Raw genomic sequence first — 19571 nt, forward strand, 5'->3', positions numbered from 1 at the left:
GTGCTAAGTTGGGTAAGTTCAGAGTATTATATGGTACAAATATTTTTCCACATGGCCTCTGCTCACCTTCCCTGGAGATAACATATAAATGGCAATTCCAATTTTCACCTAAGACTGATGTAAAACATCACTCCTTTCTTATTATGCTATCTGACTATTTCCCTGTTTACTGTTTTTCCATTAATTTAATCAATTCAGAAGACTTTTTCTTTTATTTTTATTTTTTCCATATGTGCAAGATCTATTCCTTTATTCAGCCAACCCACTTCTGAGGTTTGCAATATGTGAAGCATTAAGGTAGGTGCTGAGTTAAAACAAAAATTAAATAAGACCTGGTGTCAACTTGAAAGAGTAAAACTTGTACTCAAGAAGCTAAAATGTTTTAGACTAACCCATATGAAACCTTTTTGTTAACCAAAAAAATGGTATAATACTGGCAACTTGATGGCTCGTCAAAATATATTTTTTCACAAATAATTCCAATATGAGGCATGATCATCAAACTTTTCTTAAAACTATAATCTCATTAAAATATCTTTGAGATATTCCATAAGCAGATTGGCCCTCAGCCTTTGCTGACAGTTTCAGCAGATCCTTCATGCAGACTTTAAGTTCTGCCTCACATCTCTCTCTAGAGGGGCTTAATCAAGTAGGGGCCATACCAGAAATGAAAAATATATTCTCCTTCTTATGCCAAAACAATCTCTCTCAAAACTAATTGTCAGTGATTGGATTTCAAGAGCAATAAGATGTTATATAGAGTTTAGTGTGTGGATGTTTAATAGGGAATGCTCTTGGAGTCAATTCTTATGGAAGGGATGAAAGAAAAAGGATTTGGTAGCTAGAGGAATTCAATACAATAGACACTTGACAGCCTGAATCAACCCCACAGGAGTCCTGGACATAGAAGGGCTTCATAGATCTCATGGGAAAACAAGCAAACTTTTTTTTAAAACAAAAAGGAAAGAAAGAAAAATACTTTGAGAAAAAGAGGCAAATCAGACAACAAAATAAAATTTCCAAAAGTAATCATATCACAAACAAATTAAAAATTTGTAGCATTCAAAATACAAGAATAGAAGCAATATAGAAGTGAAACTTAATATTAAAAAATTTGAAATGTTAAATTATAAAAAGCAGATTTTTTTAAAAAAAAATTAAGAATTAGAAGATAAAGCTTGAAGGTAGACCAAAATGATGAAATAAGACTTTTTAGTGTTTGTCTCCTAGGAGAAACATCTATTAGAACAACTATCCATGCATGAAAATACCTTCACAAGAACTAAGGAAACCAGGTTGAAGGTTACAGAACATGGGCATAAAACAGAAATAAGACAGATTAAAGAGAGTAAAAAGAACAATTTCATATGTCTCACGTCACGCCCTCCCAACACATACCTATGCCTGCATGATATGCACAGCTATGAGAGAGGTAGACTCTGCTTGGGGAAAGGAGATTGAAATAATTACCCAAATTTACTATGGATGCAAGGGCCTGGCCATCCCCTATGACCTCAGACTCCCATCCAGTACACAGGAGCTGAGCCTCCAGGCTGGCCTCATTTACTTATTGCTTCTCATTCCAAGGTCTCAGACCTACCCTAGAACCAGGCCAGCCCTTGCAGACCCAGATGAGACCAGCACCCACAGCCCATGAATTCAGGCTCATCCCTGTGCCATGCCCCTATCTGTAGTCCCGCACTTCAGGCTGACATCCATGCCAGGTTGGCCCCTGCAACTTCAGGCTCCAGGTAAGTATGCAGGGACCCAGGTATCAGGCCAACCCTGAAGCCCTAGACTGCAGGCCCACCACATCAGAAGGCCAGCTCCTGCGGCCCCAAGCTTCAAGCCAACCCCTGTGACAGACCTGTTTGCAAAACCCATGACTCCAGCCCAACCTCCTACAGACCCAGGTTCCATGCCCAACCCAGTTCCAGGATAACACCTGCAGCTCCATGGACTAAGCTGGCATCCAGAGCCCCAGGACACCCCAGAACAACCCAACATCCAGGCAAAACCCTGCAGCCCAACAATGTAGGCAATTCCCCCCATGGATCCAAAATCCTGACCCATCCCAGTGAATGCTAGCTCCAAGCCAACCTGCCAAGAACTCCAACAGTAAGTCCACCCACCCATGAACGCCACCAAATGGCCTAACAAGAATCTCTAGACTGGTTGACTTCTGAAGGGCATCTCCTGCTGAAGCCAGTCTGTGAACACTGAAATAGGTGCCTACTTCTTCAAACGTACAGACACTAGTACACAGCCACAAGGAACATGAACAATCAGGGAAATGAGACTAACCAAGGAACAAAATAAAGCACCAATAACTGGACGCTAAAGAAATGGATACTTATGAACTGCCTAAAAAAAATGAAAATAACAAAGAAGTTTAGTAAGATGCAAGAGAACACAGATAAACAAATAAATGTAATAATGAAATCAATAAATAAAATTAGAAACTTAAAGAAATAGAAACCATTAAAAAGAGCCAAACAGGAATTATGGAGCTTTAGATGACTTCATGAAAAATTCCACAAAGAGTTCAACAGCAGGCTCAATCAAGTAAAACAATGAATTAGTGAGCTTGAAGAAAAGTCATTGCATTGGAGATCACCCAATCAGAGAAACAGAAGGCAAAAAGAATGAAAAAGAGGGAATAAAGTCTATGAAAATTATGGGACATCATTAAGTGAACCAATATATACATTATGGAAGATCCAGAAGTGTCAGCAAAAAAGAATGAGACAGAAAGCTTATTTAGAAAAATAATGATGAAAAAAATTCTCAAATCTGAAGAAGGGAATAAACATCCAAATCCATGAATCCCAAAGAACCCTAAATACATTAAGTATATGGAAATCTGCACTAAGACACGTTATATTAAAATGCTCAAAAAGTCAAAGACAAACCCAGAATTTTGATGGGAGCAAGAGGAAAGCAATTTGTTATATGCAAGAGAAGCCCAATTAGACTATCAGTAGATATCTCAGCGGTATTATTTCAGGCTAGAAGAGAGTGAGTGATACATTCAAAGTGCTGAAAGGATAAAACCACCAACAAAGAATACTATGCTCAGCAAGATATCCTTCAGAAATAAAGATGAGATAATAACTTTTTCAGACAAAAAAAAATAAAGCCCAATTGCTAAAGGGAGTTTTTCAACTTGAAACAAATGAATGCTACCTAACAACATGAAAATATATGAACATATAAAGCTCACTGTGAAGGTAAGAATATAATCAAATCTGGAATACTCTCATTCTGTAAAGGTGATACACAAATCACGTTTAACTATAGTATGAAGTTAAAAGATAAAAGGATAAATATAACTATAGCTACTATAATTTAGGTTTGGATACACAAAATATAAAGTAAGTAAATTGTAACATTGACAACATAAAATGTGAGGGTAGAAGTAAATATAATGTATAGTTTTTGTATGCAGTCAAAGCTAAGTTGTCATCAGCTTAAACTCATCAGCTATAAGATATTTTATGTACACCTCATGGTAAGTATACACACACACACCCACACACACAAAACAACAACAACTGTAGCCCTGCAGCAGATTACACAAACGATAAAGAGAAGAAATTAAAGCATACCACCACAAAAAAAATCATTAAATTACAAAGGAAGATGACAAAAGAAGAGGAATGAAATGAAGGAATTATAATATAATTAGAAGACAACTAAAAAATCATAGTAATAGGTCCTTACCTATCAATAATTACTTAATTATTGACCTTAAAGAGAGCAAGAGTGGCTAAACTTTTATCAGACAAATTAGACTTTAAGTCAAAAACTGATATAAAACACAAAGAAGGTCATTATATAATGATAAAGAAGTCACTTCAACAAAATGATGGAACAACTATAAATATATATACACCAATCACGACACACTTAAATATACATAACGCAAATGTAACAGAACTGAATGAAGAAATAGATAGCAATATAATAACAGTCAGGGACTTCGATACCCCACTTTCAACAATGGACAGATAATTAAGACAAAAAATCAATAAAGAAACAGTAGACATTAACAACGCTATAGACCACAGGAACCTAGCAGACATATACAGAATATTTCAACCAACAGCAGCAGTATACTTGAGCAGTATTATTTTTTTAAGTGCACATGAAATATTTTCCAGGATAGATTATATGTTAGGCCACCAAACAAGTCTAAAAATTCAAGAAAATTGAAATAATATCAAGTGTCGTTTCCAACAACAATGGTATGCATCCAGAAAACAATAACAGGAAGAAAATTGGAAAATCCACACAAACACGTAGGAATTAGATTACACACTCCTAAGCATCCAATAGGGCAAATAGAAAATCAAAAGAGAAATAAAAACATATCTGGAGACAAATGAAAATGGAAACTACATACCTAAACATATAGGATGCAGCAAAAGCAGTTCTTAAGAGAAGTTTATAGCAATAAATGCCAATATTAACACAGAGTAAAGATCTCAAATAAAAATCATAAGTTTACATCTCGAGGAAATAGAACAAAATAATAGATATCAGATCATCAATAAATAAAACAAAAACTAGAAAAAAATATTAAATATTAATGAAACTGAGTTGTTTTTGAAAAGATAAATCAAGAAACCTTTAGCTAGACTAAGAAAAATAAAAAGAAGACTCACAAAAATAAAATTATAAATAAAAGAGGAGACATTACAACTGGTATCATAAAAATACAAAGCATCAAAAGAGACCGTTATGAATGATTATATATATATATATATAAATAAATTGGTTAACCTAGAAGAAATGGATATATAAGTCTTAGGAGCATAACACTTACCAAGCCTGAATCATAAAGAAATAATCTCAACAGATCAATAACAAGTAAAGAGATTGAATCAGTAATCAGAAAACTTACAATGAAAAAAGTCCACAAATTGATAGCTTCATTGGTGAGTTCTAGGAAAAAATTTAAAGAACGATTAATGCTAATTTTTCTCAAACTTTTCAAAAAAATTAAAGAGAGGGAAATATTCCAAACACAGTTTATGAGCCCAGCATTATACTGGTAAAAGCAAGATTGGGACTTTTCAGGGAAAAAAAATTACAAGGCTACTCTCCCAGACGAACATAGACACAAAAGTCCTCCACAAAATACTAGCAAACTGAATACCACACAGCATATTAAAAGGGTCACACACCATGATTAAGTGTGATTTTCCCCTGGGATGCAAAGAAGATTGACATACTAATCAACAAATATGATATACCACATTAACAGAATGAGAGAGTTTAAAAAAATCATCTCAATATATGCAGAAAAGCATTTGACAAAATTCAACATGCTTTCATATGATAAAAACTCTCAAGAGATTAGATATAGATGAAATGTACCTAAAAATAATAAAGGCCATATAGAACAAACCCAGAGGTAACATCATACTCAGCATGAAAAACTAAAAGCTTTTTCTGAAAGATAAAAAAACAAGACAAGAATGTCCACCCTCACTACCTGTATGCAAAATAGAACTGGAAGTCCTAGCCAGAGACATTAGGCAAGAAAACCAATAAAATGTATTTATATTGGAAAGGAAGAAGTAAAATTTTCTGTATTTGAAGGTGACATAGTCTTAAGTATTGAAAACTTTAATGACTCCACCAAAAAACCACTAGAATTAATAAATTATTCCAAAAATTTGCAGGATACAAAATCAACATACAAAAATTACTATTTCTATATAATAGTAACAACAAAGTATCTGAAAAAGAAACCAAGAAAATAATCTCATTTAAAATAACATTAAATGAAAATAGAATACTTAAGAATAAATTTAACCAGTGAGGCAAAAAATCTGTACACTGAAAGCTATTAAACATTGATAAAAGAGATTGAAGACACAAATAAAACAAAAGGCATCCCATGTTTATGTATTGGAAGAATTAATATTGTGAAAATGTCCATACAACTCAAAACTATCTGCAGATTCAACGAAATATTAAAATTTTAATAACATTTTTCACAGAAATAGAAAACATTATTAAATTACAAGGGAAACATAAAAAATTTCAAATGACAAAAGCAGTCTAAAGCAAAAAGATCAAAACTGGCCCCATTTCAAAATTTACTACAAATCAAAACAGCATAGTACTGACATTCCATATGTAAGCCAGTAGGATAGCATAGAAAGCCCAGAAATAAATCCATGCATTTAAGATCAATTGCTGTTTAATGAAATTGCAAAGAACATAAAATGGGGAAAGGACAGTCCTCTATTCAATGTGTTGGGAAACGTAAATACCCACATGAAGAAAAATAAAGTTAAACCATTATTTCACACTATATTCAAAAATCAACTCAAAATGTTATTACTTAAATGTAGAACCTGAAACCATAAAGTTATTAGGAGAAAATATAGGAAAAAAGCTTCTTGACATTGGTCTAGATGATAATTTTTTGGATATAACCTTTAACTCACAGACAACAAAAGCAAAAATAGACAGATAGGACTACATTAAACTAAAAAGCTGCTGCACAGCAAAGGAAGCATGCATACAATGAAGGGAAACCCACAAAATGGGAGAAAATATTTGCAAACCACACATCTGATAAGGGATTAATATCCAAAATACATAAGGAACCCAAATAACTCAACAGTAAGAAAACAACTTGATTTTACAAGTGGACAAAGGACCTGAATAGACATTTCTCAAAGGAATGAATAATGGATATATAAAAAATTGCTCAACATCACTATCATCAGATACACGCAAGTTAAAACCAAGAGATATGACCTTCCATCTATCAGAATGACTATCATTGAAGAGACAGAAGATAGCAAGGTTTGGTGAGGATATGGAGAAAATGGAATCCTTGCACACTGTTAATGGTAATTAAAATTAATACAGCCATTGTGAAAAACATATAGAGGCAAATCCAAACAATTAAAAATAGAACTTCCATATTAACCAGCAATCTCATTACTGGGTATATATTCAAAGGAAATAAAATCCATATGTCAAAAAAAACTACACTCCTATAACCATGTAGCATTATCTATAATAGCCAAGATATGGAATCAACCTAAGTGTTCATAAACAAACGAGTTAATAAGGAAAACATCATAAATATACCCAGTGGAATACTATTCTGCTTAAAACAGAAGAAAATTCTGTCATTTGCAACAACATGGATGAACCTGGAGGACATTAGGTTATGGGAAATAAGCCAGACACAGAAAGACAAGTACCATATAATCTGATTATATGTGGAATCTAAAAATAGTCAAACTCATAGAGCAGAGTACAGTGGAGTGGTTATGAACGGTTGGACAGTGAAGTGGGTAGATATTGCTCAAATGATTCAAACTTTTAGTTAGACTGAAGGAATTAGTTCCGGAGACTTTTGTACAATATGGTGATTATAGTTAAAACAATGTATTGATTTCTTGAAAATATTTGAATATAAATTTTAAATGTTATCACTCACACAAAAATAATAAGTGTTTAGGCAATACATGTTAATGAGCCTGATTTAGCCATTCCACAATATATACATATATTAACCCATCATGTTGTATGCCATAAGGATATGCAATTTTTATGAGCCGATTAAAAAATACATTTTAAAAATTACAGTAAGGCCAGAGCTCCTGAAATAAAATACTATCACTAACCAAAGAAAAAAATATGGAGAATGTGTTAATTTCCAACCTCTGCTCACAAAAAGCAATCTCCCCTCTAAGGCAACAAATCCTGGTTTCCAATTCCTCCATGAAGCCTTTGCTGACCTCTCCAGTATGAATATTTTTTCCCACTAAGGATTTTATATTCAGATTGATGATAAGGATAAGTGGCATAAGCTCAAATGAATGGAAATCAAAATATGGCCCTTAAAATTTGTTTATTAATCAGCTTTTGGCTTATTCTCCAGGTCTCAAAGGATATGCTAATTAATCCAATTTAGTATGTTTGTAATGTTCAGAAGATTAAGTCTCTTAGGCTATACTTTGATGTCAATGCCAAATAAATCCTCTTAGAATTATTTTGAATAGTTGGGTCATTCTCTGCAACAACATAAATATTAACATTGATCTCATTGTGCATATATTCTCCTAAATGATCAAGAAGATAGTTTAATTGCTGCATCTAATTTAAAAACTAATACCAGGCAACCAACTGGTCTCTATATAACTCTTATCAGGAATATCGAGGTGAGAATTTAACACATTATTAAATTAGAAACTAGAAAAATTGATATCCTGAAACATGTTTTCTTTTAGTTATTTATGGTTTTCTTTTTCCTTATGTTTCCAACTTTTCAATTTTTTCGGATTCTTATATTCTTTTTCTAAATCTAAAGTCTATTGTGTAAACTCTAGACAATTTACTATCATTCATTTGTATCACTTATGAATTCAAGAGGAGCCTACACTGATCCAAAAATAAATAAGAGCATACTTTTGTAGTAATAACAGAATACATTAGGGAAGATTTTTAAACTTCTTTAAATAACGTGGTAACCTCTACAATGAAATAGTGTTGAAAATGTTTGTATTGGGCATTCCCTATGTATTAAAAAAATTATATGAGCAAGGACTATAATTTCAAACCAATCTTTTAAACCCCCAATATAATTTTAGGGAGTGTTCTTGTTTCTCTTTTGATTCTTAGAGAAATCAAATACCAATATAAACCTTATTTCTGTTTAATTTACTATAATCAACTGAGAAAACTGAAGGGAATCTTATGTTATGTGACTTTAAACTGGCAAGAGTAACCAGTTAATGAAAAAGTATTCAAAGTATATTTATATACATTTCAAAGTTCATTTTAAAATATTGTTTCTAAAGATATCATCCCCCAAATAATCTGATATTTAAAAGTCAGCAATATTTTCAGGAAACTAAAATAGAAGAGGTCTTTCTATGTCTCTCCAAAACATTTTCTCTGTTCCTGAAATTTGGAGTGTACTTGTGGTCGGTAACTATCCAGAAAATTATCAATCTGTAAATATCTAGAACAGTCTCAACTACCTTTTAAAGAAAGTAACAGGATGAAAGTAATTGGATGAAACAGGCATCCAATATCAGGACAATGCATATATGCTTCCAAATGTAGCTATAATAAATGAAGGTAGATCAAAATAAAACATGCTCCAGCAGGTTAGAACTCCATGTTTAAGGACATACCTAAGGGGTTAGTAACAGAAGTTTTAAAAATATTCTCAAATTTTAAAAAATGTGATCATCATAGAATCTAGGAATACCATAGAATCATGATGTTCAAAAGAGTAGAAGTTGACACTAAGGTGATACTGCTTTCATAGGTAAAGGACTGTAAGAATGCATTACCACAAGATGCAAACATATCCCTTAATGTTTTGAGATACGTGCAAGACTGTCAGCAAACAATTATTGTAACTACCAATGTCATCACCATGAGAATGAAGCAGGCACTTGTTCAGTAAGTGCATTGTGATGTTCTCCACTGTAGATTTGTAAAGTGCAGAAAACGTTAGTTGAATCCCCAATGATTTTTATGGACTTATCAAAGTATAAAACATAGCAGATGTAAGAGTACATCACTTTACTTAAAATTAAGATTGTTTTCTGAATATGAGGAACAGTTATTATAGAAAATTTAAAATAGAGAAAAATATAAAGAGGAAAAAATGACCAATAATTTTTATTACATAGCAAAAACTAGTAAAAACATTTTGATGTGCTTCTGTACTACCTTCTATTACATTTACATGTAAATATTTATTTGGTAATTCCGGTTATACTGCATGTAAAACTTTTTATTTTGTTTTTATGCAATATTTTTATGTCGGTTTTATTATAATAGATATTATAGCTAAACACCATTTAAAATATTTGTCAGTATACATTCATATGGATGGTTCACATTTATTTAATCATACTGGTTAACTAACTGGTTACCATTTAGGTGTTTAAATTTTTCACTATTATGAGTGAGATTATAATGAACATCATTATATGTACATATTTTCTGAAGTTTTAGTTATTTCTTTTTGATGCATTTATTTTTACTGATCAAAAGGTATGAACCTTAAGAGTTTCTTTAATCTATTACCAAATTATTTTCTAATGATTACACCAATTTATACATTTACCAGGAATGCAATTAGGTTGCCATTTTACTATATTCTAGATAACGCTCAATATTATCAGTTTTTTAATCTTATTTTCATATACAAAATAAATATAGCTTCATAGGTGTTTCTGAATGGTGTTTCTCTGATTAGTAATAAAATCAAACATTTTTAATTTACTTAAAAATGTTTTTTTCTTTGAGATTTTTCTATTCCTGGGCTTTACCTATTTTCTAGTAATTATTCCTACTCATTTGTATGAGATCTTATAGCAAAGGTACAGAAACTTTATCAAATTTACTGCAGATAATCTCCCAGTTTGACATTTTATTCATAATTTTTTGATACGTAGTTAGACAACCGAATATATTTTTAACTCAGGATTTCTCCAATTGCTTTTAATAACATTAATTTCTTTATGCACATAAGTAGTTTTACTCATAGTATCACTAGTAACATAGGAGGCTTTTTGGTTTTGGTTTGGTTTTTTTGAGACAGGGTCTCGCTGTGTCACCCAGGCTGGAGTGCAGTGATGCTATTATGGCTCACTGCAGCCCCCATCTCTCAGGCTCAATGAATCCTCTCACCTCAGCCTCCCCAGTAGCTGGCACTACAGGAGCATGTCACAATGCCCTGGTAATTTTATATACTTTATTTTTTTTTTTAAGAGACAGGGCCTCATTATGTTGCCCAGGCTGGTCTGGAACTCCTGGATTCAAGTGATGCTCCCTCCTCAGCCTCCTGAAGTGCTGGGATTACAGGCATAAGCCACTGTGCTCACCAGACTTTTTAAATGCAGTGTTTTGTTTTTTCTCCCAGCTTCCATCCATAACACTTTTACTCCCCAACTCCCAGGAATATAAATATCTTATAAATATTCCCTTTTCCCCCAGAGCATCTTATTTTTAAGTGTATATTCCACTAGTATTGGAGATAGTAATTTGCTGAAATAGGCAGATGAAAATAGTATTTTAAAAATATTTTTATTGGGGTAAATTATACACAACATAACTTTTATCATTTTAGTCATATTTAAGTGTACAGTTCAGTAGCATTAAGTGCATTAATATTGTTGTGGAATGATCACCATCATTTATCTCTAGAACATTTTCATCTTCCTAAACAGAAACACTGTACCCATTAAACAATAGCTCCCAGTAGACCCCTTCCCCTGGCAACTACCATTCAACTTTCTGTCTCTGTAAGTTCGACTACTCTAGCTTTCTCATGTAATTGGAATCATACAATATTTGTCCTTTTGTGTCTGGCTTATTTCAATCAGCCTTATGTCCTCAAGGTTAATCCATGTTGTAACATGTATGAGAATTTCAATCCTTTTTAAGACTGAGTAATATTCCACCACAATTTATTTATCCATTCACCTGTCCATGAACATTTGGGTTGTTTTTACGTTTTGGTTATTGAAGGTAATGCTGCTGTTAACATTAGCATACAAAAATAGTCTTTTAAACACATTGTTAACCACTACATATACAAACATTGAAATCGGGAACACTGGTACCAATTACTGACACTTAAATTACGAATCAGCTTTACCTATACTATATGGAGAAGTTCTGTGCTCTCAATATTTCTCTCAAGACCTCAAAAGTCATCCTTGTGCACCCAATCAGATATTTTTTCAAAATATGATAGAAACATGTTCAACCAATAGCCACAAAAGTAGTAGCCTCAGGAGACTCATTCTCGCAGTGAATTGGGCATGCACCAAATTCCAGGCAAGATGAGGAGACATTGTGGAAGATGCTCTCCTTCTTTTAAGCCAAAGAGACGTCAATAATTGTGGCATATTATTAATTAGTGCCTTATTCCTCTACAATTTTTTTCAGAGAGGTCAGGAATGGTTGAAGAAAATCATACCATGAAAAATGAGTTTATCCTCACAGGATTTACAGATCACCCTGAGCTGAAGACTCTGCTGTTTGTGGTGTTCTTTGCCATCTATCTGATCACCGTGGTGGGGAATATTAGTTTGGTGGCACTGATATTTACACACTGTCGGCTTCACACACCAATGTACATCTTTCTGGGAAATCTGGCTCTTGTGGATTCTTGCTGTGCCTGTGCTATTACCCCCAAAATGTTAGAGAACTTCTTTTCTGAGGGCAAAAGGATTTCCCTCTATGAATGTGCAGTACAGTTTTATTTTCTTTGCACTGTGGAAACTGCAGACTGCTTTCTTCTGGCAGCAGTGGCCTATGACCGCTATGTGGCCATCTGCAACCCACTGCAGTACCACATCATGATGTCCAAGAAACTCTGCATTCAGATGACCACAGGCGCCTTCATAGCTGGAAATCTGCATTCCATGATTCATGTAGGGCTTGTATTTAGGTTAGTTTTCTGTGGATTGAATCACATCAACCACTTTTACTGTGATACTCTTCCCTTGTATAGACTCTCCTGTGTTGACCCTTTCATCAATGAACTGGTTCTATTCATCTTCTCAGGTTCAGTTCAAGTCTTTACCATAGGTAGTGTCTTAATATCTTATCTCTATATTCTTCTTACTATTTTCAGAATGAAATCCAAGGAGGGAAGGGCCAAAGCCTTTTCTACTTGTGCATCCCACTTTTCATCAGTTTCATTATTCTATGGATCTATTTTTTTCCTATACATTAGACCAAATTTGCTTGAAGAAGGAGGTAATGATATACCAGCTGCTATTTTATTTACAATAGTAGTTCCCTTACTAAATCCTTTCATTTATAGTCTGAGAAACAAGGAAGTAATAAGTGTCTTAAGAAAAATTCTGCTGAAAATAAAATCTCAAGGAAGTGTGAACAAATGACATCTATCCTAGCTTAATGGTTTAATGCTCAAAAAACTTCTAAATAAAATTACACAGAGGAAGTGTACTAATTGTATACAAAATATTAAAACATATCAAAATACAATCAAATTAAGCAGAAATATGTGACAGGGAAAATTCATGGAAAGGAGTGAACTGTGCTAAATATTTACTCAGAATTTAAAAGCACATGCAGACATTGAATTCACTCAAGCAGCAATGTAGAAAGCCACCATGCCTATAGACTGTGTTAGTATCAATGATGATCAACACCCAAAACAACAGCAAAACTACCAGTTACAAATATAAAAAGCCATACCATTTACAAAGCGGGCTTTGATAACCAGCCCACTCTATAGCTTACAACATGTGCATTACAGTTAAGTGTTTAAGATCATGTGAACAGTCAACCAACGAACTCACTTATATCCATGAGCAACAAAAATGGCAAGTGAATTTTGAGGAAGAAAATGTAATAGCATGTGGGGGACATTATTGTAGTTAGAATGAGGTAGTCAGGAAGTGATTGTGCCAATAAAAGTGAATATTATATTTCCAAATAGAAGTTGTTGTTAAATGATTTAAACATTTAAATAATTAAAATCAGAATGTCAAATTTCAAGATAGGTTACATTAAGTTTTATTTACTCCAAAACCTACATGCATAAAGATACCATATCATAAAGTTCTAGACAAACATTTCAAACTTCATGTAGATCTGAAGAGCCTTCATTGTCAGTGAGTTAGGCTAAACTTCTCTGTGCCCATTCCTGAGAGGTGAGGAAGGGGTTAAACAATGGAGACACAACCTTTGGGTATATTATATACAGACATGTAAAAAAGTGTGATTGTGGGACTGTGGACAGGGCTTATCTCAAATATTTTCTTTTATTCCTTCACCATTGCAAAACTTAAAGTCGTTTAATATGGATAGAACCTAATAATCTTATGTGACATCATTAAAGAGATACTTTCCAATTATTCACTCTACATATATTTATTGAGATTCTGCTATGTGCAAGCACTGTTCTAGATGCTGAGACATATTAATGACCAAGACACCACTCTTTTCATCTTCTTAAATAATAGAACATTGCCATTATTTTAATTACTAACTTCTGGAACAAGGAGGACCCATAACAAGTAACAGAAAAATTCTCCCTTCCACCTCCTCTCTTGATGCTCTGTGGTCACATCTAAATTTCCAGAAGGCAGTTGTCAGATTGCAGTGGGCCTCAAGCTAGCCAGCCACCAGAGGCTGGCATCACATGGAAAATCAGCATGCTGAGTCTATATAGAAAAGGGAGTAGAAAACAGATATATTTCTAGATATAATTCCCTAAATCATGAATGAAAAACTATAAAAATATAGTGTATATTTGTAACCTCCAAGAAAACCTAACCTAGTTCATTCCAATTATACTCAGACATTTCAGTATTTCCTTGCCTGTTTCAAATTTAAACCCCATCAGTTGAGTTTTTGCCTAATGCACGTCCATCAGCATCACCAAATGTACTTGGATACTTACTATGCGTCCATGTGCTAAGCTGTGTATACACATTACCTCATCCAACCCTCATAAATCCTGTGAAAGAATTGCAATTATTATCCCTTGTGACAGGTGAGAATATGAAGCACAGTATGGTTGAGTCACTTGTTCAGTGACCCACAGGAGTCTGCATGACCTGAACCCCAGGCTGCCTGACTACAAAAACTACATTCTCAATTATTACATAAGAAATCACAAAAGGTCACCCAGAGATTGCACAGAATCGTTTATCCCACGCAATGCAGAACAGCATAGTGTTCTTTGGAAAATTAATTTTAAGAAATTTAAATATCAGGAGAATTTTTATTTAAAATTTTTATTAAAAATTTTTATAAAAGCAAAAATTGACTTTTCTTGAAAAAGTGGCAACAATTCTTATGTCACCTCCCTGGCCCCTCTGAACATTTAAATTTATAACTTTGCATCTTTGCATTAAAAACTACTGCCTCTCATCATACTTCATTATTTCAGTGCTTACTTACAGTAAAAATATTTACCAAGTTGTAGTTGTGAATTATAAAATATGCTGATTTGAACAATTTCTCAATGTTTCAGCTTACCTTTTATAGTGAAAACATTAAAAAAAAGAAAAGACCAAAAAGTTCCAGAAGGGATAATTTATTAATTCGTTTGCAGTCAATATATAGTGGGTTAAGAAAAAGCAAAAATAACAATAAATAAATAAGCTAAATACAGAATTTTTTGGGCACCTAATGAAATGGTGGTGTGTTTTGGGGGTGTGTATTTCTGCTAGATGCCATTTCACTATGCATTAAGTATGCAAGGTAGGATTCAACTACTATCAGGAGGAAAGATGGGAAATTTTGACCTGTTTGTTATACACCAGAGCAGAAAAACTGGGAAGAAATACTCAACCTACAAGAAAAATAAATAGATTTAACCAGAAAAAACTTTACATTTTAAATGCCTGCATTGACTTCTTCCCTGGTTTCCTGAGTCCAGCTAGGTCAATTTTATAATAAGAGGTCCCAATTTTCATCTTCTCAGAGATTGCATCTGTTGGTTGCATCGTCCATGAGTGGAAATTTTACAGTTCAAAGAAAAAATAAGGGTTTGGAGATCATATTCACTGGAGAAGAAAAGAAGATGAAAAAAAGGATGCAGTTCATTTTAAGTTCTGAGGGTGGAAGTAGATTCGAGGGTGATTTCAGGGAAGTAGATTTGTCTTTTCCTCCAGGGAATAATCAAGGTTCTTCCCAAATCCCTACAACCTCTTTCCTCTTCTCCTACTTGGGCTTCCCTGTTTGCACGCATGCGTGTGCAGGAGTGGCTGTGTGCTTGGACTCAGCTCCAGCTGGAAGCATGCTCTCCTTTGTCACTGTTGGAGAAATTCAACAGTACAAAAATACAGTTGATGACTTGATGAAAGGGCTGCACCTTCAAGCCATAGATGCAGCCCTTTTGTCAAGTCATCAACTGCATTTTTGTACCGAAGTTAACAAAAAAAGAGATAAAATATTAATTGTTCCTTTAAACCTTAAGAAAACCTTAAAAGAAAAAAATAAGCCAAATACATTATTTTAAAAAGAAAATCTTATACAGTAAACAGTTAACTGTTGAGCTGTACATTCTTTATAAAAAAATTATTCAGTTTTACTGGGCAGGAGATATAGGTATGAACTTGATAGAAATATGGTAGAACAATAATCAGTATAATTCATTTTAAGCAAATATATTTTACTAAATATGCTTATTGACCAACCCTTTTTGTTAACTATAAACTTGCTATTTTATTTGGTTTGAATTAGCTTCATCGCTGCATTATAATTTTATGTTTTGCTTATGGTGATGAATCAACATCAATCCCAGGGAACAGAGAGAACAGATACCAGTTAGTCCTGTTTAAGGTGTTAACAATAAAGGTAGCTCCCTTTTCATAAAGGAAAGAAAGCCAAATACTAATGTAGGAAAGTATGTATTATCAAATTAGTATGATAACTTTGGAGAAATGAGTCATATGCCGATATGACTTACAGGTCTATTTTGTTTGACGCTCCCTTTAGAAGATAAGGATAAAATAATACATACAAAATAAAGGAAAACTGACTGAGATAAAAACCACAAAATTTCTACTGGGAGAATAACTTACTGGGGATTTTTTTAAACATGACTTTATACAGAGATATGCATCTATGGGGAACTAGTTCTTCATAAAACCAGAGAATTAACATGAGAAGTAAACAACAGCCTTTTGGCTATGATGCCCTAATGGGCATGTTAGGACATTCTAACCTGAATGCAGGCGTCGGAGCTTACTGGTATACCATTTAAGATGGGCAGTCAGGGGTGGGGAGGAGACATGTTTTGAATGTTTGCAATCAATCTGAATATAGACTAAATGAGTTACTCTAGGTTACCACAAGTAGGGATAACAGGGCAGGGAAAATTGATTTACTCATGCCTGGAAGGCAAATATGTATAGACTAACTCAATGTGTAGGTCAAGTAATGCAATATGAGGGGCACCTAAACTATTCTATTCAAAAGATTTCTCCAACTCTATAGCAAGTACATATTCCACTATTAGAATACTAAATTGAGGCAAACATGATGAGTAGATTTTATCTTTCCTGCCAAATGAGTAAGAGGATGATTGATTGGACTCAGAAATGAAATGTGTTATGCTTCCATATTTTTTAAAAATTATTTATTTTTAAAACAAACATGGCAGCACATATTCCACGTTGTTTGTGAGGGGAGGGAGGCAGTCTGTGTCTCAGGGTCTATTAAATGCATGGCATTTGAGCTGAAGTACTCAAAAACTGTATTAAGAAAGAAAGGCAAGCAGGTAAGAAGCATGAAAGACAAGAAGCAAAATATTAAGATTAAGGTCTTGAAAGTCCAAGTGTCAAAATGGCAAAAACTTTGGGAGGTGAAACTCATTGTCTCAGTAGCACAAATCAATTAATCTATATTGCTTGCTCTTCAACAAGACACAGCCCAGATGAATGAGGCACATATCAAGGAAGCCATTAATTCTCAGAGATCAAGACCAGATAATGTCCCAAACTGAGGTTCCTGGAAGACCAGGGGCAGCTGGGTTCACAGGAAGACGTAGTTCTAAAAGTGGGTGGGAGGAGGACCCTCATACAAGCTCTATTCTTAGTTTAATGTTGGGTGAACTAGGAGTGTGACTCTCCAAAAACCCCATTACCTGAGCACTCTCAGTCTCACACTGTCACACACACATACACAAAAAGTAAGACTGAAATGTATCATGATGAGAATTCTTGCAGAGAGGCAGGCAATGAGCACCAAAGAGATGAAATCTGGTATAATTTCCTCAGTAATCTGACAGCTGTTCTCCTTTGCTGCTGCTCTTCCTTGCCTCTTCATCCCCTCCTGTAAAGCATGTCTTCTTTCATCCCAGCAAACTATGTATTGAGTTAGTTCCTCTTAACATGGTGTGTTAGTCCGTTTTCACGCTGCTGATAAAGACATACTCGAGACTGGGAAATTCACAAAAGAAAGAGGTTTAATGGACTTACAGTACCACATGGCTGGGGAGGCCTCACAATCACGGGGGAAGGTGAAAGGCACTTCTTACATGGCCATGGCAGCGGCACGAGAGACAGAGTCTGTGCAGGGAAGCTCCCATTTTTAAAACCATCAGATCTTGTGAGACTCACTCACTATCACGAGAGCAGTGCAGGAAAGACCTGCCCCCATAATTCAATCACCTGCCACCGGGTTCCCACAACACCTGGGAATTGTGGGAGTTACAATTCAAGATGAGATTTGAGTGGAGAAACAGCCAAACCATATCACATGAGTAATGATGAAGGGCTACACACACAGTAAAAATAATTACATAGGCACAATCCCTGCTTCTTAGAAATGTATGTAATCAGGCTATTAAAAAAGAAAGTAAAATGGTATAGGATATTTATAGCACATTAATATAATTGACTTATAGTAAACCTAATAGAACTTTATCCTTCACAATACTTCCCTTCTCAATTTTTTCTTCTATTTAACTTCATATTTAAATACATAACCTTTATTTAAAGGGAAATTACTGTTTTTGAGATAGAAAGATTTATTACTCTCCCTCAGAAAATATACACCAAGAAAGTAACTTGTTTAAGGACTGATAGAAAACAATGAAGCTCAAAATGTAATAATTATGAGTATGACTATGTACTTTTACATTTGAAAAATGTGTATTATGGATAACCAACTAATAATTAGCTCATAGACAATGAAATGCCAGTGGCATAATCTAAATATATTTATTTATTCATCCATCATTCAATAAATACTTACTGAGCATTTTTAAAATACACCACACACTACGAGTAAAGCCAGCCAAGATTTCTTCTCTCATGGGTCTTACAGAAGTCCTGGGGGGAAGATGTTAAACTAAAATCATTACAATTTAATAAATGTTTAAGATTTATGTGCAATTTCTCCTGACATCTCAATTTAGTTTTATCAGAAGCTCCACATTCCAAATTAAGACACCAGACTCCTGTGCAGGATTTTCAGAGAGTGGTTTAAAAACTTATCTTGTGACCTTTGACTCATTATCCCCCGCAACTATTTATGAGTCTTGGGAATGAATCAGAATTTGGAGAATTCAGACACAGACATTCTCTAGAAAGACTTAACGGGTTTTCCTGTAGTCCCACCCGTTGCAATGAGGAGGCTTGGCCCCGCTCACTCTACTTACCCAGTTGAGAGGGTCTTTACTCAGAGAGTTTGATACATGTCCCCTGGAGTTTGGGAAACCTATAGAAGAATATATGACTCCCCGTTGAGGGGTCCAAAAGGTGAAAGGGCTTGATTAGACAGCGCTGAAATACTGAGACCCCAAGGTGAGCTGAGAGAGACCTGCATTCCCTCTGTCCAGCTATCCATTAATCCTTCATGATTCTTGTGGGTTAAAAGCCTTCCTAAGAGAAGGAGCTGGCCTGGGGCCCTAATAAAAGAGAACTCTTTCTTTTTAAAAAAGTTTTTAGAGACAAAATCTCACTCTGTCACCCAGGCTAAGATCATAGCTCACTGCAACCTCAAATTTTGGGCTCAAGCGATCCTCCTGCCTTAGCCTCCCCAGTAGCAGGGACAACAGGCATGTGCCACCGTGC

The 19571-nt window shown here is 34.4% G+C and overlaps 1 protein-coding gene across 1 annotated transcript; it reads left to right on the forward strand.

Annotated features, from left to right (window-relative positions):
- Window positions 1-11963: 11963 nt before the first annotated feature.
- On the forward strand, window positions 11964-12914 carry OR5K2 (olfactory receptor family 5 subfamily K member 2). The gene has a single exon (NM_001004737.1). The coding sequence runs from the start codon at window positions 11964-11966 to the stop codon at window positions 12912-12914; it is 951 nt and encodes a 316-aa protein (NP_001004737.1).
- Window positions 12915-19571: the final 6657 nt, after the last annotated feature.

This window comes from Homo sapiens, chromosome 3 (genome assembly GCF_000001405.40).
Source record: "Homo sapiens chromosome 3, GRCh38.p14 Primary Assembly".
NCBI lineage: Eukaryota > Metazoa > Chordata > Mammalia > Primates > Hominidae > Homo > Homo sapiens.